This window comes from Homo sapiens, chromosome 10 (genome assembly GCF_000001405.40).
Source record: "Homo sapiens chromosome 10, GRCh38.p14 Primary Assembly".
Taxonomy (NCBI): domain Eukaryota; kingdom Metazoa; phylum Chordata; class Mammalia; order Primates; family Hominidae; genus Homo; species Homo sapiens.
In genome coordinates, this window is record NC_000010.11 from 99,671,976 (window position 1) to 99,697,107 (window position 25,132).

Here is a 25,132-nt window from a genome sequence, read left to right on the forward strand (position 1 = left end):
GATGAAATGATTAGGTTCTTATGTGCAATAGAACAGTTCAGAGATTTTTGATGGTGAAATTGAAAGCATTTATTCACGTTTATTTTATTATTTATAGAGTGACTCAAGCCATCCTCCTGCCTCAGCCTTCCTAATAGCTGAGATTATAGGTGCATGCCACCGTGCCTGGCTAAATTTCTTTTTTTATTTTTAGAGACAGGGGTCTCACTATGTTGCCCAGGTTGGCCTTGAACACCTGACCTCAAGCAGTCCTTCCACCTTGGCCTCCCAAAGTGCTGGGATTACAGGCATGAGCCACTGTGTCTGTCCCACATTTATTCAGTTACTTGATCTTTTTTTTTTTTTTTGGAAACAGGGTCTCACTTTGTCACTCAAGCTGGAGTGCAGTGGCGTGATCATAGCTCACTGCAGCCTCAACCTCCCAGGCTTAAGCAATCCTCTCACCTCAGTCCCCCAAGCAGCTGAGACCAAAGGCAAGCACCACCACACCCGACTAATTTTTATATTCTTTGTAGAGATGGGGTTTCGCCATGTTGCTCAGGCTGGTCTTGAACTCCTGAGCTCAAGCAAGCCACCTACCTTGGCCTCCCAAAGTGCTGGCTTATAGCCATGAGCCACCACACCCAGCCCATTTATTTGATCTTAATGGTGTTTTGAGCAGGACTTTAAATTATAGATGTTCCTGACTGCTCTGATTAATCTTGTTAGGAGGCAAGCAGTAATCTTACAATATACTTTTCTGGGTATGTATTACTATCATCAGTCATGCACAGCTACTTTAACTGTAATATCATTATATTTGGTTCTGAGCTTTGAAGAGAGTTGAAGAGTATGATGACATTCAGCAAAGAATTAGTAGCCCCATACTCATGGGGGCTACTTCAATTGACTTTTGGCCCATCACTGAGCTCTGTTTGAACTCTAAAGTGGTATAATTAGTTTTGATTTTGTAAGCTAGGTAATGGTTTGCTTAGTTACAGCTCTAACGCTGTTAATGCTTTCAGGATAATGGCAGTGAAAAGCCATTGTCTTCCAATTCCACCCTGGGTGATATATTTGTGGGTAACTTTCTTTTCATTGACTCAGCAGTGACTAGAAGGAAATCATGTTTCTTAAACAGAGGAGGTGTGTGTGTGGGTATGGTATTGGGGTGAGTATGTGTGACAGTGAATCAGACCTCTTTAGGGAAGGTGGATGTGAGGGATGCCAAGGCTTTTGAGACTTTTCTCTTGGGCTTTTGGTCCTCTTTAGAGATTGGCTAGTGTGGCATCGGCAAAACAGGAGGGTCCAGCAATGCAAATAATTGGCCATGATGGCTAAGGCCATGGCTACAAATTATATATGACAAAAAAAAAAGAAACTATATATGAAAAAATGCATGAAAGGTCTGGTGATCCATTCATTTTAGGAGCCTAAATAGAGGAAGGCTTCTAGTTGGTTGAAAGTGTAAGAAACCTGATTAGGTCATAAGAGGTCAGAGTTCCAGGAAAAGGTAATATGGCTACTGCCCAGAGGGGAAAACTGTTCTTTAGTTACTAGTTTGTATGCACAATGAGAAAAATGGAGACTTTCCACTGCATAAATGCCATTTAGGCCTATCTTCCTCTTTAGTGATCAAAGGTCAGCTGACATTTTAGCCAAAGCACACATGGAGACTTCGAAAGGAAGAGAAAGAAAAGTTGAGTTGCACCAAAACTGGAGCTGTAAAGTTCCTTATTTTGGCAGGAATCAGAGAGGATAACAAGATACTTTATTTGGAAAGCAATTAAAACTTTCTAAGAAAGAGACCAGTTGATTTTGAATAGAGCTGTACAAAGACACGGAGGAGTTAACAGACCAACAGCTCCATTTTGTGAGCTCTAGGACCAAACCAATCAATACTATTTGATACATCTTTTGGGCAGAGAAACATGAGAAACTCTGTGACAATATCAAGGTAGTATAGATAAGGTACATGTTCTTGAGAAACTTATGGTCTAAACAGGTAGAGCAAGCAAATATGAAAGAAATCTTAGGGGCTCATACTGAAATATAAACAGGGAATATTGACGTCCACATTTTAGAACAGAAGGAAGAGGCCTTTTCAAATCATTCTGGGTACTACCAGTCAGCATTGTTGGGTAGAGGCTTTTTAAGAACTGAGAAGCCATGTCCAAGGAGACAGGAGAGGGGAAGGAGTAGGTAGAGAAGCAGATGGATGTTAAAGAGAAAAGGAAGGCTGTATTAGAACAGTGGTTCTCAAGAGTGTTTAGTGGCCTTTGGAGGGTCTCTGAGACACTTTTGGGAGTCTGTGAGGGTGAAACTATTTTTTATAATAGTACTAAAATGTTATTTTGCCTTTTAAAACTATGGTTCAAACATATACAATTTACCATTTTTAAGTGTACAGTCAGTAGTATTAAGTATATTTACATTGTTGTGACACAGATCTCCAGAATTTTTTCATCTTGCAGATCATAACTCTGTATCCATTAATGAACTCTCCTTTTCTCTCTCTTTCCAGCGAGCTGCTGGTAACTACCATTAAATTTTCTGTTTCTACTTTAGATACCTCATATAGGTGGAATCATACAGTATTTGTCTTTTTGTGCCTGGCTTACTTACTTAGCGTAATATCCTGAAGATTCATCTGTGTTGTAACATGTGACAGGATTTCCTCCTTTTTAAGGCGGAATAATATATCATTGTATGTATATACAACATTTTGTAGATCCATTTATCTGTTGATGGACATTTGGGTCGCTTCCATCTCTTGACTGTTGTCATGTTTTTTACCTTTTTCACTGAGTTGATTGATACTTGCTTTGATGGTGCAAAAGCAATGGCAGGTAAAACCGCTAATAATGCCTTAGTGCAAATCAAGATAGAGGCACCACATTGTACTAGTAGTTACTATATTCTTCATTGCCACACAATTGCATTGGAAGAAAAGATTCAGTTCCACTTATGAATATCTTTTCAATATTCTATGTGATGAAAGGGGAAATAGGTATTAAGCACTTCTGCTATATGCTGAAGTTGTCTAGAGTAAAAGCACTTGGGCAGTTTTTTGAATTATGAGGTAAACCCAGCTGCTTTTATCATGGAACACTATTTTTAGTTAAAAGAATGACTGCCAGAAAAACTAAGGTTTCAGACTTGTGTATTTTATAGACATTTCCTTGAAAATGAGTGAAATAAACCTGTCACTTCATGAAAAACAGTTTTCAGTATTTATTGCCAATGTTAAAATTTGAACTTCCAAGTGAAAATTAGTATTTTGGAAAACTGTATCTGCCACTGTGAAATTGGATAGCTTCCCAATACTTAAAAGACTTTTTGAGTAAGATTGGTAGTGATATTAATGAATGTGTGTTTTTTTTTTTAAGGATTGTAGAATGAAATGTATCAGTGTTAGGAAGATTTGCATAACTCAGTGAACCAATTATTTTCCAATAGATGATGTTATGAAATCATGCTTGGATAACAGCCATTCAAAGTGCATGTTAAACCCATGTTTTTTAATGGATTTTAATGTAACAGAGTATGAAAAGTTTTTAGATAGGGTTTTAGATTCCAATTGCAACTCATCTTTTTTTAGGGGGGTGGGGTGGGGTGGGGTTTAGATTCCAATTGCAACTAATTTTTTTTTTTTTTTTTGAGATGGAGTCTCGCTCTGTTAACCAGGCTGGAGTGCAGTGGTGCGATCTCGGCTCACTGCAACCTCTGCCTCCCAGGTTCAAGTGATTCTCCTGCCTCAGCCTCCCGAGTAGCTGGGACTACAGGCGCCCGCCACCACGCCTGGCTCATTTTTTGTATTTTTAGTAGAGACGGGGTTTCACCATGTTAGCCAGGATGGTCTTTACCTCCTGACCTCATGATCCACCCACCTCGGCCTCCCAAAGTGCTGCGATTACAGGCATGAGCCACTGCGCCCAATCGTGACTAATCTTTAAGAAACGCTACTTGTTGAGTTTTAGTATAGTATCAAAGAAGAGTATTCAGAATGATCTGAAAGGGCTGTTTAATACTCCTCCTGTTTCCAACAGTGTGTCTGTGTGAGGCTAGATTTTCACACAAATGCTTCAATTTGTGTGAAAATTGAAAATTGAAATTTTTCAGTATTGTTTTGATATATTGTAACAGATTGAATACGGAAGTAAATGCGAGAATCTAGGGTCTTCTGTTAGTTTGGCTACTAAAGATATTTGCAAAATTATAAAACAATGCCACTCTTCTATTTTTTTGTTTTAGGAGATATGCTTATTTTTATAAAAATATATTTATATGTAATGAGTTTATTTTATTTAAATGAAATACTTAACATTTTTATGTTTTATTTTCTAATATAGTAAATATAGATAGATACAACCTATGTCTATGAAAGCTCTTTGGGGTTCAATAAGTTTTAAGATTATAAAGGAGTCCTAAGGCCCCCAAATTTGAGAACCAGCGCACTAGAGAAAAGTTATTCATTATGCAGAAGGGGATGGGATCCAGAATCTTGCAAGAGACAAGCAGAGTGGGTGGTTTTCAGAGAAGGGAAGCAGGAAGATTCTGTGAAGCATGTGAAATAGAAAGATTGCTATGATTGGAAATGAAAAGTCACTTTGGAATGGGGGTGGATTATCTTGCCTATTTCTTTTTTATCTTTGGCCTTTTGTGAGGTCAGTATTTGCAAGAGTTCTGTGACTTGAACCCAGACTTTTGCCCAGCTCTCATATGATAGAAGTGAGCTGTTGCTAGTTGATTGGTGGATTCTAGCCCAGTTCAGCCCAGTGATTTGATTTATGGGAAGATATGTGGTGAAATGGAATCTTTAGCATTAGAAACTTTCTGTTATGTAACAGATTTTTACCATCTGCTTCATTTCCCTCAACTCACTACCATTTCAGATCCAGAAAAAAAGTTCTACCTACCCCTACTCTCAGTAATAATTTACATTATATTGAAGCTCAGTTCCCTGTTCTCTTTTTTAAAAAAATGCATTTTGCATTGTAATATAGGAAAGGTACTCTACTTTTTTATTTCAGAATTATTTCTACATGCACTTCTTTTTATCAAGTTTGCTTTTCTGCCCAAATAAGGAATAGTGTGGTTTTGTCTAACGATGTGAAATCACCAATAAACACTGGCTAGATTGGTTTCAGGAGCGTGATGCGTGGTTTGTTGTTCTGATTGGGGGTGGTTTTATTGTGAAGCTAATGATCCCTATACCTTAAAGCCCCTCACTTACATGGGCTTTTTTTCTATTTGTAATGCTGAATCTTGTTTTTAAAAGAAGGCTTTCCAAATTCTGTTAGCTTCAGACATCACAAAAGCTGGTTCTGAGGGGTTCTGTGTAAGAGCCTTGGAGATCTAGGAGTTGGCTTTAAAGACAATGTTGGATGAGCAGGGCAGATAGCTTTTTTTTTTTTTTTTTTTTTTTGAGATGGAGTCTCGCTCTGTCACCCAGGCTAGAGTGCAGTGGCACGATCTCAGCTCACCGAAACCTCCGCCTCCCAGGTTCAAGCGATTCTCCTGCCTCAGCCTCCTGAGTAGCTGGGATTACAGGCTCCCACCACCATGCCTGGCTAATTTTTGTATTTTTAGTAGAAATGGGGTTTCACCATGTTGGCCAGGCTGGTCTCGAATTCCTGATCTCAGGTGATCTGCCCACCTCAGCCTCCCAAAGTGCTGGCATAACAGGCGTGAGCCACTGCGCCCAGCCAAGTGCTCAGAAGTATTTTAATCAACTCTTAGTCTTCTTTATTTTCTGAACTTTTAAGCCTTTTTCCTCAGAGTCTTCTACTATTTACTTTCCCAATGATTATTCTGTTAACAGCGGCAGCACAGTTCTGCTATGTGTATGATCTCTGTGAGTGTAGATACCCTTCACTCTCCTTGTTTTACAGATGAGGAAACAGTCTGAGAGAAGTTTATTAACTTGCCTAAGGTCACACAGCATAGAAAGCAATAGAGCTGAGATTCAAACCTTGCTATGTTTCATGGAACACCTTTACTTGTTTCATCTTCCTGATGTCAGCCAGCCAGATATCTTGGAATGAGAATCTGAAAAAATTCCAACACAAAATACTAATGTCCTAGGGGCCAAGAATTATTATTATTATTTTTTAAAAATATAATTTATTTTTTAAACTTGGTGGTAGGTACACAGGCATTTGTTTTATTGTTATTCTTTATACCCTATACATATTTTATTATCATTCTTTTTATGTTTATAAAATATTTAGGCCAGGCGCGGTGGCTCACGTCTGTAATCCCAGCACTTTGGGAGGCTGAGGCAGGCGGATCACGAGGTCAGGAGATCGAGACCATCCTGGCTAACACGGTGAAACCCCGTCTCTACTAAAAATACAAAAAATTAGCCAGGCGTGGTGGCGGGTGCCTGTAGTCCCAGCTACTTGGGAGGCTGAGGCAGGAGAATGGCATGAACCTGGGAGGCGAAGCGTGCAGTGAGCTGAGATCATGCCACTGCACTCTAGCCTAGGAGACAGAGCGAGACTCCATCTCAAAAAAAGAAAAAAGAAAAAAAAAGATATATGTATATATATAAAATATTGTAGAAAAGAATAATTATTGTTTTTATGAATTACATTTTTAATGCAATTCTAGCAATATAAATACAAAACAAAAAGCAAAACCAAAAAGCCCAATCAAAAATATCACCACCCAGGCGAGGTGCAGTGGCTCATGCCTGTAATCCCAGCACTTTGGGAGGCTGAGGCAGGAGAATTGGTTGAATTTGGGAGGCAGAGGTTGCAGTGAGCTGAGATCGTGCCACTGCGCTCCAGTCTGGGTGACAGAATAAGACTCCGTCTCAAAAAAAAAAAAAAATCACCTCCCAGAAACTCATTAAATGAGAAATCATTCCACAATATTCTGGATGCATCTATACAGAAAGATAGAAAAGAAGTGATTAAGATTGTCTCAGTTATCTAGTGTGCGTTAACAAGCTACCCCAAAACTTAATAGCATATAACAAAAAACCAATTATTTATTCAGGGCTACAAGCTCTAATGCTTGAAAAAAGATTGCTACCTTAGCCAGTTTCAGAGCTGCCCCCACACGTGGGGACATCTTTTAGTCATCTAATTTCAGTGGCTTCTAGGCAAGTGAACCAGCTATTGTCTCAAGCACATCAGTAAATCTGTCAATATTGCTTCACTCATTGGTTAGGACTGGTAGTCCCATGTGCTTAGCACATGTAGGCACTTAATGAAGATTCATGAACAAATGAAGTAAGTGAGGGCGCCTTTCATGGACCTGACTGCTTAGCACTGATTTCTCTTTTTGCCTGACTTAGGTATTTGGCTCGAGTAGGGGAGCTTGAAGCTACTGACACTGAAGACCCAAATCTGAATTATGGACTTGTTGTTGACTGTGGCAGCAGTGGTTCCCGGATTTTTGTTTATTTCTGGCCAAGACATAATGGGAACCCCCATGACTTGCTGGACATCAAACAGATGAGAGACCGCAACAGCCAACCAGTGGTTAAAAAAATCAAGCCAGGTACTAATCAGAATATATTTTGTTGTCAGTCTCTTTTAAGGCATGAAAGAGGAGACAAAAGAAGCAGAAAGCAAGCTACCCCTTTCTTCTTGAGAGTCTGGGTAATGGGAGGGATATCTCTTTCATTGTCACCCCCTACCTCTCAAATAAATAAATGTTTAGGACCTTGAGGAGAACTTTATAGGGTATCAGTTTCCTGAGTCTTATGTGAGCCGCTTTTTAAAGAAAGTTTTGTCTGTTTGTTTGTTTTAACTTAAGGAATCTCTGCAATGGCAGACACTCCAGAACATGCCAGTGATTACCTTCGTCCTCTGCTGAGCTTTGCTGCTGCTCATGTGCCTGTGAAGAAGCACAAGGAGACCCCTCTTTACATCCTCTGCACAGCAGGCATGAGGCTTCTCCCTGAGAGGTGAGATGCAGGGTACAGGAAACACAGGAAAACGGTGGCACAAGAGATGAAAGGCCAGTTTCATGCACTGTCCTCTGTGGTTCCCTGGTCTATACCCCTAAACCCAATTATGACACAATCATTCATTCCCAACTTCTTGTCATTTGCTGCTTTGGGATCAGTATCTATCTGGGATGACTATAGTGATTCTTAGTTTGGATTGAGGGTTGGGAGTAGTGGTGATGGTAATAGATTTGGATCATCGGGCACATAGAGAACATAATTACAGAATAAATTAGGAAGAGGGTCACCTGATGACCTGGATACTTAGGGACTAGTCAGAGAGCTCTGGTAGGAACACTACCTTTTCTGTAACTCTGCCTAGAACCCTGGCAATAACTGGGGGAGTCCCTCTTCTTGCTGCTACTGCAAAGCTCAGTCTCCATTGCCTTAGGCCTGTTTTCTCAGCCCCAGCCAGTCACATCATTTCCACTTGACCTTTGCAATTCAGCCTGACACCTTGCCACCTGATCCCTCTTCCTGCATTAGAGGAAGAGGAAGAGAAGGCTGTATTTAGGCCAGACTCCTTGTTTGTGATTTCTCTCCTTTGGTACCACCTTGATCCGTCCATACTTACGTAGGCCGGGGGAAGAATGAGCTCCCTGACTTTTTTTTTAATGATTTTTATTTTATTGTGGTAAGCATACAACATGAGAGCTACCCTCTAACCAGATTTTTTTCTTTTTTTTTAGAGACAGGGTCTGCTCTGTTGCCCAGGCTGGAGGGCAGTGGTGTGATCACAGCTCACTTCAACCTCTGCCCCCCAGGCCCAAGTGATCCTCCCACCTCAGCCTCCTAAGTAGCTGGGACTACAGGTGGGCACCATCACACCCAGCTAATTTTTGTGGAGCCAGGTTTCACCATGTTGCCCAGGCTGGTTTAGAACTCCTGGGCTCAAGTGATCCGCTTGCCTCAGCCTCCCAGAGCGCTGGGATTTCAAGCGTCAGCTACCATGTCTGGCCCAACAAATTTTTAAGTATACAATACGTTATTGTTGACTGTGTGTACAGTGTTGTACAGTGGATCTTCAGTGCTTATTCATCTTGCTTAACTGAAATTTTGTGCCTATTTATTTCCCTTAGCATATTGTCGTTAGTGTTCATCCACCTTGTCACATATTGCAGAATGCCCTTTTTTATTTAAAAAAGTCTAAATAGTATTCCACTGTGTGTATGTACCATGTTTTCTTTACATATTCATCTGTCAGTGAACATTTAGGTTGTTTCCACATCTTGGTTATTGTAAATAATGCTTCAGTGAACATGGGAGGGCTCATATCTCTTTGAGATCCTGATTTTAAATCTTTGGAATAATTAGCCAGAAGTAGGATTGCTGGATCATATGACAGTTTGATTATTTATTTATTTATTTATTTATTTACTGAGACAGGGTCTCGCTCTGTTGCCCAAGCTGGAGTGCAATGGCATGATCTCGGCTCACTGCAACTTCCACCTCACAGGCTCAGGTGATTCTCCCACCTCAGCCTCCCAAGTATCTGGGACCACAGGCATGTGCCACCATGCCTGGCTAATTTTTTGTATTTTTTTTTGTAGAGATGGGGTCTTGCCATGTTGCTCAGGCTGTTCTTGAAGTCCTGGGCTCAAGCAGTCTGCACGTCTTGGCCTCCCAAAGTGCTGAATTACAGGCGTGAGCCACCGTACCCGGCCTATATTTTTAATTTTTTGAGGAACCTCCATACTGTTTTGCAGAGCTGCTGCACCATTTTATATTCCCACCAGCAGTATGCAGAGTTTCCAATTTCTCCACAGCCCTGCCAACACTTGTTGTCTTTTGTTTTTTGGATAACAGCCATCCTGACAAGTGTGAGGTGATATGTCATCGGGGTTTTGATTTGCATTTCCCTGATGACTAGGGATGTTGAGCAACTTTTCATATGCCTGTTGGCCATTTCTGTGAATGGAGAAATGTCTATTCAAGTCTTTAGCCCATTTTTACATTGGGTTAATAGGATTTTTGCTGTTGAGTTGTAGGAGTTTCTAAAATATTTTAAAGATAAACCCCTTACCAAGGTATAGTTCGCAAATATTTTTTCCCATTCTGTAGCTTGCCTTTTTACTCTGTTAATTTTTTCCTTTACTGTACAGAAATTTTTAGTTTGATATAGTCTTACTTGTTTATTTTTGGTTGCCTGTGCCTTTTGGTGTCATATCAATGAGACCATTGCCAACCTTAACTTTAGAATTCATCCTCCTGGAATGTTCATGGTCTCATAGGCATCAGGTATTTCCTTATTAGCTTAAATATTTTCCTTTGGTCAACAGCAGTTTTTTTTTTTTTTTACAACGTTTAAATTTTATAGTTGGCTTTCTTTCCTTAAATCAACAGCAAACAACAAAAACCTCAGCCATACATGTAGGGCTCCAAGGCTTATGTCAGACATGTAGACAACATAACATATAGCAGCAATGCTTCTTTCAGTGGACTTTTTTTCACAGTTACTGGTTTACTGACTGGTTTACTGTTGAGAAGCAGATTATTTATATAGCCATTTGTCAACATGAGAGGTTTTTTAGTTCCTTATTGCCCCATACATTTCAGTCTTTAAAAAATTTTTTGTTTTGTTTTTACTTATCTTTAAAACCAAACTTTAAATATTGTAACTGCAGCCTTAACTCCTTAAGGGAAATCTTAAAAATGAACAAAACAATACAATACAACTTACAACCCTGCTACCCTATCAAAACTGTTTCGTTTTGTTGTATTCCCTCCTTTCTGTTCACATATATGTAATTTCCACAAAGTTGCAATCATACTGTGCATGCAATTAAGAATTTTTATTTGACATAGGTGATATTCATATTGTTCAAAAATTTTAGAAACCCTGGGAAGAATATAGATGACACAAGAGCAGGTGCCACATCACAAAGTCTATAAAAGGCCAAGGAAAGGGGAGGGAGGCCAGAGAAAAAGCTGACCTGGAGGTTAAAAAGGCAGAATTGACCAGCTGAGCTGGGCAGAGGAACCCACTTGGTAGTTTGGCTACCTTTAGTGTGTTTGGAGGAAAGGAGATTGTTGCCTCACCTCCTGGCACTGTTCGGTATTACCTCTGTCAAAGAAGTTTCCATCCAAACAAAACCCACTGTGTAGCTCCACCCTTTTTGTCTAAGATGTTAGTTGTCAATGTGGAAACTCTGAATATTAATATTTATTGTATCTAAAGAATTTTTAAAGAAATTTGCCTTTTTTTTTTCTCTTTCAACTTGTTTTCTGGTCACCTCTCTAAATAATGCATACATCTGTTCTAGGCTTATAAAATCATTGCTGCCTCTAAGTCCAAGCGAGTTGTTGGCATAAATGTGACTATCAGTATAAGAACCTGTTTTGTATGATTAAAGGTTTGCTAATTTATTAGCATTTGTAAGCAGATTCAAAATAGGGTTGAACCATTTAGACTATATTTTGAATTTATTAGCATTTGGTTTTATTTCTTTGCCAAAGGCCTGGACTAACAGAATTTTTTCTACCTCCCTTTTATTTTGCAGTTAAAAAAAATCCCTTAAAAATTACACCATAATACAAGGTGGTGTTTAATAAAATAATAATTTTTATTTTAGGAAATTTCACTTGTGTATAAAAGTAAAGAGAACAGTGCAGTAAATCCCCATTTACCCACTACCCAGCTTTAACAATTATCAACATTTCGCCATTTTAAAAGCATTTTAAATAAATAAACAATATTGAATTTTAGAAGATGAAAGCTTTATCCTGTCACTATGTATACATGAAGAATGATTTGGGTTTTTGTTTTTTTAGCATAAATGGAATCACATTATACATACTGTTTTGTAAAATGTATTGGACATCTCTTATCTTTTCATGTCTATACATGTAGATATAAGTAGACTTCATTTCTTTTAACATCTGTATAGTATTACATTGCATGGCTGTGCCATAAGTTATTTAACCAATCCCTATGGTATGGTATTTCCAGTTTTTCATTGTTATAAATAATTTTCATTGTTATAAATAATGCTGCAGTATTTCTCTTCTTTATTTTATTGTTTGATGATTTCCTTGGAATTAATTTCTAAAAGTATAACAGCTGGATCAAAGGTTAAACACATTGAAACATTTTGAAGCATGGTCCTGGATTGCCCTTTAGAAAGGTTGTACTAGTAATTTATTTATTTATTTATTGGAGATGGAGTCTCCCTCTATCGCCCAGGCTGGAGTGCAGTGGCATGATCTCGGCTCACTGCAACCTCCACCTCCCGGGTTCAAGCGATTCTCCTGCCTCAGCCTCCCGAGTGGGATTACAGGTGTCTGTCACCATGCCTGGCTAATTTTTGTATTTTTGGTAGAGATGGGGTTTCACCATATTGGCCAGACTGGTCTCAAACTCCTGACCTCAGGTTATCCATGTGCCTCACCCTCCCAAAGTGCTGGGATTATAGGCATGAGCCACTGCACCCAGCCTGTACTAGTAATTTGCATAACTAACAGCAACATATGTTGTTGCCCATTCTTCCATATCATTGCCAAAACCAACGAACCCTCTCTTTGAGGAGTTTAGAAGCATATCCAATAGGGACAGAAGAATACCCCTTCTTGGTCCCCATTTGAAATTCTTATTGCAAGAATTTAATATGTATAACAATGAACTTTTTTTAAGAAACTATACTTGACATTATACTGGAAGATTATTACTTCAAATATAGATCTTCACTTTGAAGTGCTAACAACATTCTTCATCAAGTAGTACTGACAACTGTCTGAGCCAGCAGAATATTTTTGTATTGAATATTTTTTAATCCAAGATAACTTGTCTTATTTTAACTAACATTTTCTCTAGATGCATATTATTACTTCTAGCTTTGTTTCTTTGCTTTCCTTTGCTTGATAATATTGATTACATGCTTAAAATGTTAGAGGAAAGACAACCCTATAGATACAAAGTTTCAAGTGTTTTCCCCAAATTGGAAATGTTGTTATGTCCTCTGGATTTTGATCCTGATCTAGGGTTTTCAAATGGTAAGATTTTCACAATGAAAAAAAAATCAACCCTTGAAATATGGAAAAGGAGATTAAAAAGTTAATTGTGGCTGGGCAAGGTGACTCACACCTGTAATCCCAGCACTTTGGGAGGCCGAGGCAGGTGAATCACCTGAGGTCAGGAGTTCGAGACCAGCCTGACTAACATGGTGCAACCCCGTCTCTACTAAAAATACAAAATTAGCCGGGTGTGGTGATCCATGCCTGTAATCCCAGCTACTTGGGAGGCTGAGGCAGGAGAATCACTTGAACCTGGGAGGCAGAGGTTGCAGTGAGCCGAGATCATGCCATTGCACTCCAGCCTGGGCAACAAGAGTGAAACTCCGTCTCAAAAAAAAGTTAATTGTTAGCTTATGTAAAGGATTACATTAAAACTTGTGGAACCAACAGTACATCTTGTGTGGTAATGTGAAGCATTGTTTCTATGTTGTGTAAGATTTGAGGATGAGATTGTGTTCCTTAATTTAACATCTTTGTTTTACAGTAGTGAGGAATAATGTAATTACATCAATTTTATAGTTTATGCAACTTGGCTGCAGTTTCCTGTGGCTTGTTTGTACTCAGCCTGTGAGAGTCATAGAACCGTAGTCTCATAGCCTCATCTTTTAACACTCTTTGAATAATAACATCATATAAGGGGAAAGTATTACTATTACCATGTTGCCTTTTAGGTAGGAGGCTATACCTGGAGGCAGTTTAAACTTTTAAAATCAAAGGCGGTACCAAAAAGAAGCAGGGCTGGACAAGTAGATGAGGTAGGTGAACAGTGAGGTCATGACAAGGCTAAGTAGAAGGACAAGTTGAGGCAGTTTATGAGAAGAGAGTTTAGTGACTAACTTTGGGATTTTTTGTTCTTTCTTGCAGGAAGCAGTTGGCTATCTTGGCTGACCTAGTGAAAGATTTACCACTGGAGTTTGACTTCCTCTTTTCACAGTCTCAAGCAGAAGTGATCTCTGGGAAGCAGGAAGGTACTGGGCCTTAAGGGGTGCAGCTGGTTAACCTCTAAGCCAACCATGGCACAGCCTCTCTAACGGGTGTTTAGAATTATTCTATATATCGGATTTTAATTTTTCTGCCAATAATTTTCTTGATTCTGCTACATAGTTGATTTGATTATTTGCATATTTTGCATTGGCATCTGTTTAGAATGCTGGTTCTGGAAGTCAAAAATGTATATCTCTTTTTAACTTAGTACTAAGCAATATGTTTATAAGAATGTATTAGTATTTAATGATTTCAGTTGGATATTTGGTTAGCTAACTGTACTTTTGAAAACATATATAGTTCTAGGAGTTGTATTGAGTTTGTCAAAGTCAAATGTAAGGTAAATTATTAAAGTAAGGAGAAACTTTAATTCCAAGGGATGATCAGAATGAGTTACTTTTGTTTTGTTATGCCTTCATTGCAATTACTATGCAGTATTGATAATTCCCTGGAATCTCACACTATTGGGTTTGTACTTTTAGAGTGAATATGTGTTCTCATGCAGCCAAATTGGCCAGTTTGATGAATTATATTTCCATTTCTTATAAACGAGAAGGAGATTTATATGTCTTCTAATTGCAGACATATACATGGGAAAAGATTTACCTTTTAAAATTTCAGTATTGCATTTTTCAGTTGTAAAATTTCTATTTTGATCTTCTTAATATTCTATTTCTTTTCTTTTCTGTTTCTTTGCTGAGACCTTCTATCTTTCCATTCATTGTAGGACTGCCCATATTTCTTGGTTATATGGTTGCTCTAATATCTTTGATAATTCCAATATATGTGTCATCTCAGAGTTGGCATCTTTTGATTGTCTTTTCTCTTGTGAGTTGAGATTTTCCTGGTTCTTTGTATGCCAAGTATTTTTATATTCCATCCTGGACATTTTGAATATTACATTATGAGACTCTGGGTCCTGTTTAAATCAAAGAGAACTTTTTTTTTTTGTTTTAGGAGGCAGTTGATCTCAAGTTCTGAGCTGCTTTCTGTAGGCTGTGAATCTTTTTTTTTTTTTTTTTTTGAGACAGAGTTGCACTCTTGTTACCAACACTGAGTGCAATGGTGTGATCTCTGCTTACTGCAATCTCCACCTCCTGGGTTCAAGCGATTCTCCTGCCTCAGCCTCCCAAGTAGCTTGGATTACAGGCATGCACTACCATGCCTGGCTAATTTTGTATTTTTAGTAGAGACAGGGTTTCACCATGTTGGTCAGGCTGGTCTCAAACTCCTGACCTCGTGATCCGCCTGCCTCAGCCTCCCAAAGTGCTAGGATAACAGGCGCAAGCCACTGCGGCCGGCCCGTGATTCTATTAGTTCATTTTTCTTTTCTTTCTTTCTTTCTTTCTTTTTTTTTTTTTTTTTTTTTTTTTGAGACAGAGTCTCGCTCTGTCATCCAGACTGGAGTGCAGTGTCGTGGTCTCGGCCCACTGCAACCTCCGCTCCCTGGTTCAAGCGACTCTCCTGCCTCAGCCTCCCGAGTAGCTGGGACTATAGGCGTGTGCCACCACGCCTGGCTAATTTTTTGTATTTTTAGTAGAGACGGAGTTTCACTGTGTTAACCAGGATGGTCTTGATCTCCTGACCTCGTGATCCACCCACCTCAGCCTCCCAAAGTGCTGGAATTACAGGTGTGAGCCACCGTGCCCAGCCTATTCATTCATTTTTCAAAGCCTTGGCCACTGCTATTTGGATTTGTCCTGTGTATCAGCCAGTGGCTAATCTGGAACCTGGGCAGTGGCCTAGCCTGTAGTTCAGCTCTCAGAGCTGTTTGGATATTGTTTAGGGTCAGATCCATGTATTTGTAGCTTGGAGGTGAGCCCAGGGGTTCATACACAACTTTGCTCCCTACTGTCTGTGATCCCTCTGCCACTTTCTGGTTCCTTGGAGCTCCCTTTCATGATCCTCCTGTCAGAATACCAGGGCTTTAATTTGCCCACTCTCTGCCATGCACTTCTCATGACTGCATCTGCATCCAGGGCCAAGCGGTAGGAGGACAGAGGGAGCCTAAATAAACAATAGGATTTGTTTCACAGTCTTGAAGCTACAGCTTCTCTGGTCAGAGAAAAGAATTCAAAGCCCTCAGAGTTTTAGGTACCTGCTCAAATTCTACCTCTGTTGCCTAAGGTTAGAGAGAACAAAATAAGAAAGAAAAAAAAAGCAGGAGATTTCCCTTATTTTCTCTGAACTTTTGGCATTCCTTTTTCTGTTCTTTGGACCAGAAAATGAGTTGAAGTTCCTCTGTTCACACCTGGTGTTTACTTTCATGTTTCAAGCTGCTCTTAAGTCTAGACCAGGTAATATCTGAGGGGGAAAAAATGGGACACTCACTACTGGCTTGGTGGTAGTTTAAACCCTGGTCTCTTTCCCGGTGTGCTCATTATCATTTACTTTCAGAGTTTCCAGAAAGCTGCTCCATGCATTCTATCTAGAGTTTATATTTGTATTCAGTGGGGAGACAAGATTGCCCAGAACTAGAACTCCAAAATTTACATTTTTTCTTTTTTTTCGATATCTTCGTGACATTCAGATGATTTATACTTCTTAGACATTTGTTATACAATTAATTTCTATTCATTGAGGAAATTTAGAAGATGCAAATAATTTTAAAAGGGAAAAAAATCACAAGATGAAAGATTTGAAATTCCTACATTGAGAGTATGGAATAAAATACTATGATTACTTTTTCCAAGAAAAAGAGGAAAGAGAAGCCCTAAGGGAGAGGTGTATACATGGCATAGCAGTAGAGAATTAAGTGAGGGCTTTTCTGTTTCTTACTTAGGGGTTTATGCATGGATTGGAATCAACTTTGTTTTGGGAAGATTCGACCACGAGGATGGTGAGTAATATTGTCTTTTTATGACAGTTTACCTAAGGGCTGAAGATTTAAGTTATAACCTATCAGTAGCATGTAAATGCAAATTTTGAGTTGTTTTTCTTTTTTCAAACATAAGATGCTTCATTTTCCAGTCCTAATTTGCTTTCTTTGATTTCTTTTTAACTTTTTAATATGGAAAGTTTCAAACATTCACAAAAGTAGAATAATAAAATGAACCTCCATGGACCCATTACCCAGGCTCAATATTTACTAATGTTTTGCCATTTCTCCCCCATATCCCCCCATGTATTAAAGGTTTTTTTTTCTCATTGAATGTTTTAAAAAGCAAACCCCAGACATGTAATTTTTATTTTCATGTATGTCAGTATGTATCTACAACAGATAAGGGGTTTCAAAATGAACAAAAAATATATCCATAATGCCATTTTTAAATTTAATAGAATTAACAATTTCTAATATCATACAATACGTATCTAATACCCTATCCAGGTATAGATTTTCCTGATTTTCTCAAGAATGTTTATTCGTAGTGGGCTTGTTCAAATCAGAATCTGAACAAGGGTCATGCATTGCATTTGATTAATATGTCTCTTTAGTCTCTTTTAATCTATAATTGTTAACCTTACCACCTCACTCCCCTGCCTTTAAAAGCAAGAAAAAATTGGATCACCTGGTAGAAAGAATTTGCCACATGCTAGATTTGATTGACTGCATCTTTGTGGGGTTAACATGTTTTCTTTAACATGTTTCTTATCCCCTCATATGTCCTTTAAACTGGAGGTCAGATATAGATGTTTGATTAGACTCAGATTCAATTCCATCTGCAAGACTAAATCATAGAAGGCGCTGTGTGTTTTCCACTACTCACATCAGGAGTTTTGTAATGTCTGGTTGACTCACTTTTTGTCATGCTCAGACTGATCAGGTATTGAGAGTTCAAGTATTATCAGCCTGATCTAACTTAGTATTAAAATTCCTTATCTGCCTTTCATGGAATTGTGGTAATAGCCAATTGTGATCATTGCTTGGACATGTTTTTCATTAGAGATTGCAAAATGGTGATATTTCTAATTCTGTCATTCCTTCTGCATTTAACAGCTAGAATTTTTATGTAATGAACTTTTCTTGATCAACTCTTTGGTTACCCTGACATATAGTTCTTATGGGAAAGACAGAATAAATCCTTGATTCTTTTTATTTATCACATTTCTGAATAATGAGTTGGTGTCTAGCAACTTCCAAAGGTAACCAGTGAAAAAAAAGTTTTAATTATTATTATGAACTCATGGATTTTAATATATTAGATGCATTAGAGCCCATCACATTATTAGTATTTTAAGGAGCATCTTTAGGTTGGCTGCTGTATCCTTTTAATATGACCCCAATACTCTTTTATATTCCCCTTGCTATCTGGTACAGCAATGTATTCCAGGGTCATCTTGTATACTTTCTACCCTAGACCTGGCATTGGCCTGTTTTTAAAAGAGCCCTGGTTTCTTTTAGTAAAAGATGGTATTTAGAGATTATTGGTCCAGATACCACAGGTGGTCATTACTCCTGGGATATCATTGCTTCTAGGCCTTTCAGTGAACACAGCTAGGAAATATGTATTTTTTAGAAAGAGAAAAATAAATGAGTTCATAGTCATATTTCTGACTCATATGTAAGATTATAGGGTGCTATTAATTTATTTGATTTTTATACCTATATCCTTTTTGTTCTGTTATGCTGAATCTTTGTTCCTAAAGATATTGACATAAACATTTATTTGTTTTATTCCACAATATGTTTCATAATTTTTTTTTTTTTTTTGAGACAGTCTTGCTCTGTCACCCAGGCTGGAGTGCAGTGGTGCAATCTCGGCTCACTACAACCTCCGCCTGTCGGGTTCAAGCGATTCTCCTGCCTCAGCCCCCTGAGTAGTTGGGATTACAGGTGTGCAGCACCATGCCCGGCTAATTTTTGTGTTTTAGTAGAGACAGGGTTTCACCATGTTGGTCAGGCTGGTCTCGAACTCCTGACCTTGTGATCTGCCTGCCTCAGTCTCCCTTCATAATTTTTAAATAATAAAACCAACAATATTGTTAACAAGACTACTGCGATGTAGCTTAAGATATTTGTTTCTTTTGTCCTTAGGCTATATCCTACTAGGGATACGTAGTCAAAATGTCATGTTTAAGTAATTCACAAGAATTATTCTTTGTGTAATATATAGTTGATTCAGTTAGTATACTTGTTTGCTTTCTTTTTTTTATTTTGAGACAGGTTCTCTGTCACTGAGGCTAGAGTTTAGTGGTGCGATAATAGCTCACTGCAGCCTCAAACTCTTGGGCACAAATGATCCTCTGGCCTCAGCCTCCTGAGTAGCTGGGACTACAGGTGTGCACCACCATGCCCAGCTAATTAAAAAAAATTTTTTTTTTTTATGAGAGTGTCTCACTATGTTGCCTAGGCTGGTCTTGAACTCCTCGGCTCACATAATCCTCCCACCTTGGCCTCCCAGTGTTTTGGGATTACAGGTGTGAGCCATGGCACCTGCCTGCTTTCAAATTTTCAAGGGATTGCTGTTTTGGGGGTTTGACTTAATTTTATTTTTTAATTACTAGGGCCTTTTTGTTCTCTTATTTATTTCAGAATCAGATGCTGAGGCTACCCAGGAATTGGCAGCAGGACGGAGAAGGACAGTAGGGATACTGGATATGGGAGGAGCCTCTCTCCAAATTGCTTATGAAGTTCCTACCTCAACCTCTGTCCTTCCTGCAAAGCAGGTACTTTACCTTTTAGGGAAATTTAGTTGCTAGGAATGCTAGTATTTGAGAAGGAAGGACACTGTCTTTGGACTTAGACCAACCTACCTGGCTCTAAATATTTGTTCAGATACTTGCTAGCTTGCGTTATCTTGAGTAGGTTACCTCTCTGAGCCTCAGCTTCCTCCTGTGTGAAAAAGGAATAATAATAGTATCTACCTCATAAAGTTATGAGGATGAAATAATACCATGTTTGTAAAGCATTTAGCAAACTGTCCAGCATAAGTGTTCAATACATTTTAACAATTATAACTATACTAGGTATCTCCTGCCATTGCTGAGGATAAACATGATAATGCATTTACATTCTGGAGCACAGTATTTGATACATATCTATTGTTCAATAAATGTTATTCCCTTTCCCCTTACTGATGATTCCATTCTGGGCCTTCTAATAATCCTTACCCCACTAGAATGTAAAGAATGTATTTTGAGGGAGAAGTTTCATCCTACACAGACACTTTTTGTACAGCCATTATGTACACCTATTATGTACACCCATTATGTGCAAGGAATAGACAATATTATGTACAAGGAATAGACATGTGAGTTACACTGTCCCTAAAAACTTATAATTTATCTGTCAGTGGAGACAGCTTGTGATATCAGGGAGACTGTAGCAGTGCTTAACTTGATCTAAACCAGGGCTTCTCATCGTTGGCACTCTTGACATTTTGGGTCAGATAATTCTTTGTCATCAGGGGTTATCCCATGCATCATATGATATCTCTTGCCTATACCAGATGTCAGTAACAACCCTCCCCCTTCCAGTTGTGACAATCAAAAGTGTCTCCAGACATTACCAGATGTGTGGGGCAGGGTGGAAATTGCCCATCATTGAGAACATCTGGTTTAAACAGAGAGCTGTGGCAATATGGGGACTGGCAGCCAACTTAGCTTGCAAAGTTGAATGGGAGCCATTCTTGCTTCATGGAAGGTAAAGTATTTACCTGGGCCTTGGATGAGAGTAGGCTTTTTTTTTTTTGCAGAGTGGAGGCTGAGGGAAGGCCACCTGCATGGAGGGAACACTATATACAAAGGCACAGAAAAAGCAGCACAGAGGCCAGAATGTCCAGGGAATGACGAATAGCCTTTTGCAGTATAGGATTTTCAGGTGTGCTAGTAGTTAAGACTGGGAAGATAAGATGGAGCTAAATCATGAGCAGTATTGAGTGCTATCATAAGGGGACTGGCTTTTATTTCCATAGATAGTGGAAAACCACCAAAAGTTTTTGAGTAAGGCAGTCACATGGGCCTCAGTTTCATTTATAAAATAATTAAACTGTGAAGGTCCTTCTCAGCTCTGAATTTTGTGATGATGTCAGTTGTGTGACTGTGATCTGATCTTTTTGTAGTGAAAAAATTTTTGTGTCAGTAGGAGAAAGAATATAGGTCACGGAACCTTGAGTGAGAAGTAATAAAGGGCTGAGTTAGACAAAGTAAGTGGAAATGAAAGGGAGGGGACAGATTTCAGGGGATAGTTTGGAGTGAAAACCCAATGTAATTGAGCGATTGATTGTGGTAGTGTGAGTAGGGTGGGAGGATGGCCAGCAGTGCTGAGGATCTATCCTAGATAACCAGAAGACTGAGGAACCCAGTAACTGAGAGAAGAGCAACAGGGGTAAGGGCAGGGGTGATATTAAGCAAACAGTATTGTCCTGAGAGATCTGGATGAGAGCGTCTATCTGGTCTTCTAGTTCAGAAGTTGTAAAACTAATGACTTCAATTTTGGATATATTGAGTTTAAGATACCCAAGGAACATATATGTCAGAATATCCACAGGACTGTTGGAAATGTGAGTTTAGCAGTCAGCAGAGAATTTCATGCTGGGGTTGGAAATGTGGGGGACTAACTAGGTTGTGATACTTTTTAGTCTATATTCGTTAGTATGTATTTAACAGGTAAAACGAAGGCATGGATCTGATACTAAGAAATAGGTGACAAGCGGGACTGGGGCTTCAAGTCTTAAAGAAATGACTTTTGTGTGTGTGCAGATTTAGAAAGGAACATGGTTATGGAAAGCAACACTGGTACGGAATGCATACTTGCAAGCAACAAATTAGATTTACATATAGCAGGCCGGGCACGGTGGCTGACGCCTGTAATCCCAGCACTTTGGGAAGCCAAGGCGGGTGGATCACCTGAGGTCAGGAGTTTAGGACCAGTCTGGCCAACATGGTGAAACCCCGTCTCTACTAAAAATACAAAAATTAGCTGGGCAGGGTGGGCAGGCACCTCTAACCCTGCTACTCAGGAGGCTGAGGCAGGAGAATCGCTTGAACCTGGGAGGCAGAAGTTGCAGTGAGCCAAGATCGCACCACTGCATTCCAGCCTGGGTGACAGAGTGAGACCCCATCTCAAAAAAAAAAAAAATAGTAACTACACATAGCAATATAATGGCTCTTCAAGATGAATCTTAGTGCTTGGTAAAAATGAAAGAAACTGTGAGACAATGGCATTTAAAACATTTTAAATAATCCTGAATGCCTAATATATTTTTTTGTACAACTCACAAAGTTATGTACATTCACAAAGTTGTGCAGCCACCACTATTGAATTCCAGAACATTTCATCGCCCCAAAAAGAAACCCCATATTCACTCCCCACTCATTTCCCATTAGCAGTCACTCCTCATTCTCTCCTCTCCCTACCCCTGACAACTATTCATCTACTTTCTCTCTCCAGTGGATTTGCCTATTCCGGACATTTTGTATAAATGAAATCATACAATATGTGGTGTTTTATGTCTGGCTTCTTTTATTTAGCAAAATGTTTTCAAGGTTCAGCCATCTCGTGGTATGGGTATTTCATTCCTTTTTAATGGCTAAACAGCATTCCATTGTATGACCAACCATGCTGTATTTTGTTTATCCATTTATCAGCTGATGAACATTTCAGTGGTTTTCCCTTTTTGGCTATTATGCACAGTGCTGCTGTGAACATTCATATACACATTTTTCTATGTACATAAGTTTTTTTGTTTTTTTTTTTTTTTGAGATGGGGTTTCACTCTTGTCACTCAGGCTGGAGTGCCATGGCACGATCTCGGCTCACTGCAACCTCTGCCTCCCAGGTTCAAGCGATTCTCCTGCCTCAGCCTCCTGAGTAGCTGGGATTACAGGCACCCACCACCATGCCTGGCTAATTTTTGTATTTTTAGTAGAGACGGAGTTTCACCATGTTGGCCAGGCTGGTCTCGAACTCCTGGCCTCAAGTGATCCACCCTCCTTGGCCTCCCAAAGTGCTGGGATTATAGGCATGAGCCACCATGCCCACCCCAGTTTTTGGATCTCTTGGTATGTACCTTGGAGTGAAATTGCAGGGCACAATGGTATTTTTCACAAATTAAAAAGAAATACATTCAAAACAAGAATCCTCATTTTATAATAATACATATATACAAAAATTATACATAACACATTAGAATGGTTGCCCATGGCAGAGAATGGAATGAGATTAAGTATGAAGATAAAAGAGAATAAATAAATAAAGCAAAAGAGAGGCTTTGCCATGATAATGTGGAATGAGCTGAGGAATATGATTAATTCAGCCTCTGCCCTTGAGGTTCAAGAAAAAAATATAGCACCTTTTCATTGGCGGTACAATAAAATTGAACTTTCCCAATCCCCAAACCTGTCATAAGGAACCTTAGGGCTTCTTGGATAATGTTAGAAAAGGCCACAGAACCGGGCACAGTGGCTCACACCTGTAATCCCAGCACTTTGGGAGGCTGAGAAGGGCTGATCATGAGGTCAAGAGATCGAGAACATCCTGGCCAACATGGTGAAACCCGTCTCCACTAAAAATACAAAAATTAGCTGGGCATGGTGGCACGTGCCTGTAGTCCCAACTACTCAGGAGGCTGAGGCAGCAGAATTGCTTGAACCCGGGAGGCGGAGGTTGCAGTGAGCCGAGAGCATGCCACTGCACTCCAGCCTGGTGACACAGTGAGACTCTGTCTCAAAAAAAAAAAGAAAAGAAAAAGAAAAGGCCACAGAATAGATCTTATGATGATCCACAGAGTTCCTTAAATTTATTTTTATTAAAGGATGTTTTCCTATTAAAATAACACATTCCCATTGAGGGAATTGGAAAATACAGAAAAATACATGTGAGAAAATGATATCTGTAGTAATTCTACCTCCTATATAACTACAGATAGTGTTTTGGGTTTCTAATTTCATATTTAGTTCTTAATTTAGTGTCTAATTTGTACCTTTTAGTGCAGTCTTGTCATTTTGTGTCTTTGTTTAAAATAATGCTATGAGGATGAAAGAATGCTTAAGATGTTTTAAAGAGTAGTCATAGAAATGAAGCCTCGTGTATTAGCAATGTCATAGCTTTCTAGAAGGCAACCAAAACTAAAATTCCCTTTTTCTCTTGGTATTGTATTATAGGAAGAAGCTGCCAAGATCCTGCTGGCTGAGTTCAACCTGGGCTGTGATGTGCAACACACTGAACACGTGTACAGGGTTTATGTCACAACTTTTCTGGGTTTCGGAGGCAACTTTGCCCGGCAGCGCTACGAAGACCTTGTTCTGAATGAAACTCTTAACAAAAACAGGTACATTTGATATGGGATCTGAGTTTCTGAAATATAATGTCAGGCTGCAGATATTAGGGAGAAATACTCACATCCTCCTAAGACAGATAAGTCCCTGCTTCCTCCTTCTTTCTGACTACCCCTGCCAATGGGGTAGCATCTCTTAAAGACCTCTATTAGCAGTCCCACTCTGGGTGAGGGTGCATTCTGATCTTTGTTATTAGGACTCATAAAGTACAGTAGCTTATTGTGATCTCTTGCTGTTTCCCATATTCAGACCTAACATCATGGGAAAAGGGAGATGAATTAAATTGCCAGTTTAAAATGTACAATATATAGTGTAGCTGCTAGCAGTTCCTTCTGCATGGAAGTGTTCAAGACATGTTTGTTGAATTACAGTGCAGTTGCATCTTTTGTGAGAGTTCAGTTCTGTAGTATGTCTAAAAGATAAAAAGCAAGCATAGTTAAAATTAACTTTTAAAATGGTCTCTCATCAAATTCATAATAGTCAGTTTTTCCTTTAGCATTGGACAGATCACAGATTCTTCATTTGAGTACCAGATGAAGTAGTTAGACCTTAATGTACAAACAGTGGTGGGATTTCTTGTTTCTTTTTTGTTTTTTAAGTCTGTAAAATTATTTATTTTATCATTAAGCACACTGAAGGAAAGCATAAGAGAAAGCAGAGTTCTTTTCCATCATTAAATTTACACAAAATTTTGGAATGAAACCAGTTTAAGTAATTGGGTGATTGATTGTGGTGGCGTAGGTAGGGCAGGGAGGATGGCCAGCAGTGCTGAGGGTCTAGCCTAGGTAACCAGAAGGGTGAGAAACCCAGTCACGGAGAGAAGGACCACAGATGAAAGGGCAGGGCTGATACTAAGCAAACAACACACTTACCTACGTATACTTAACCATTTAGCTACGAACACTAGCTTGAAGAAGTACTGGTATACCCCGTTTGTAATAATTTATCCACAGCAATCAATTATCTTATATTTACGGC

At 39.1% G+C, this 25,132-nt stretch overlaps 2 protein-coding genes across 5 annotated transcripts in view; one reads left to right on the top strand and one right to left on the bottom strand.

The window, feature by feature from the left end:
* Nucleotides 1–25,132, top strand: part of ENTPD7 (ectonucleoside triphosphate diphosphohydrolase 7) — a 51,733-nt gene that overhangs the window by 12,467 nt on the left and 14,134 nt on the right. For all 3 annotated transcript variants that reach the window (NM_001349962.2, NM_020354.5, NM_001349963.2), the window contains 6 exons: nucleotides 7,286–7,491; nucleotides 7,750–7,900; nucleotides 13,817–13,920; nucleotides 16,719–16,775; nucleotides 19,410–19,543; nucleotides 23,981–24,147. In NM_001349962.2, the coding sequence (NP_001336891.1) occupies nucleotides 7,286–7,491; nucleotides 7,750–7,900; nucleotides 13,817–13,920; nucleotides 16,719–16,775; nucleotides 19,410–19,543; nucleotides 23,981–24,147 (819 nt within the window). The remainder of the gene's footprint in view (nucleotides 1–7,285; nucleotides 7,492–7,749; nucleotides 7,901–13,816; nucleotides 13,921–16,718; nucleotides 16,776–19,409; nucleotides 19,544–23,980; nucleotides 24,148–25,132) is intronic.
* Nucleotides 22,318–25,132, bottom strand: part of COX15 (cytochrome c oxidase assembly factor COX15) — a 37,835-nt gene continuing 35,020 nt past the window's right edge. For both annotated transcript variants that reach the window (XM_006717634.4, NM_001320974.2), the window contains one exon: nucleotides 22,318–24,566. Coding sequence is in view for 1 of the 2 variants with exons in the window: in NM_001320974.2 (NP_001307903.1) it covers nucleotides 24,501–24,566 (66 nt within the window). In the remaining variant the exon portion in view is untranslated. The remainder of the gene's footprint in view (nucleotides 24,567–25,132) is intronic.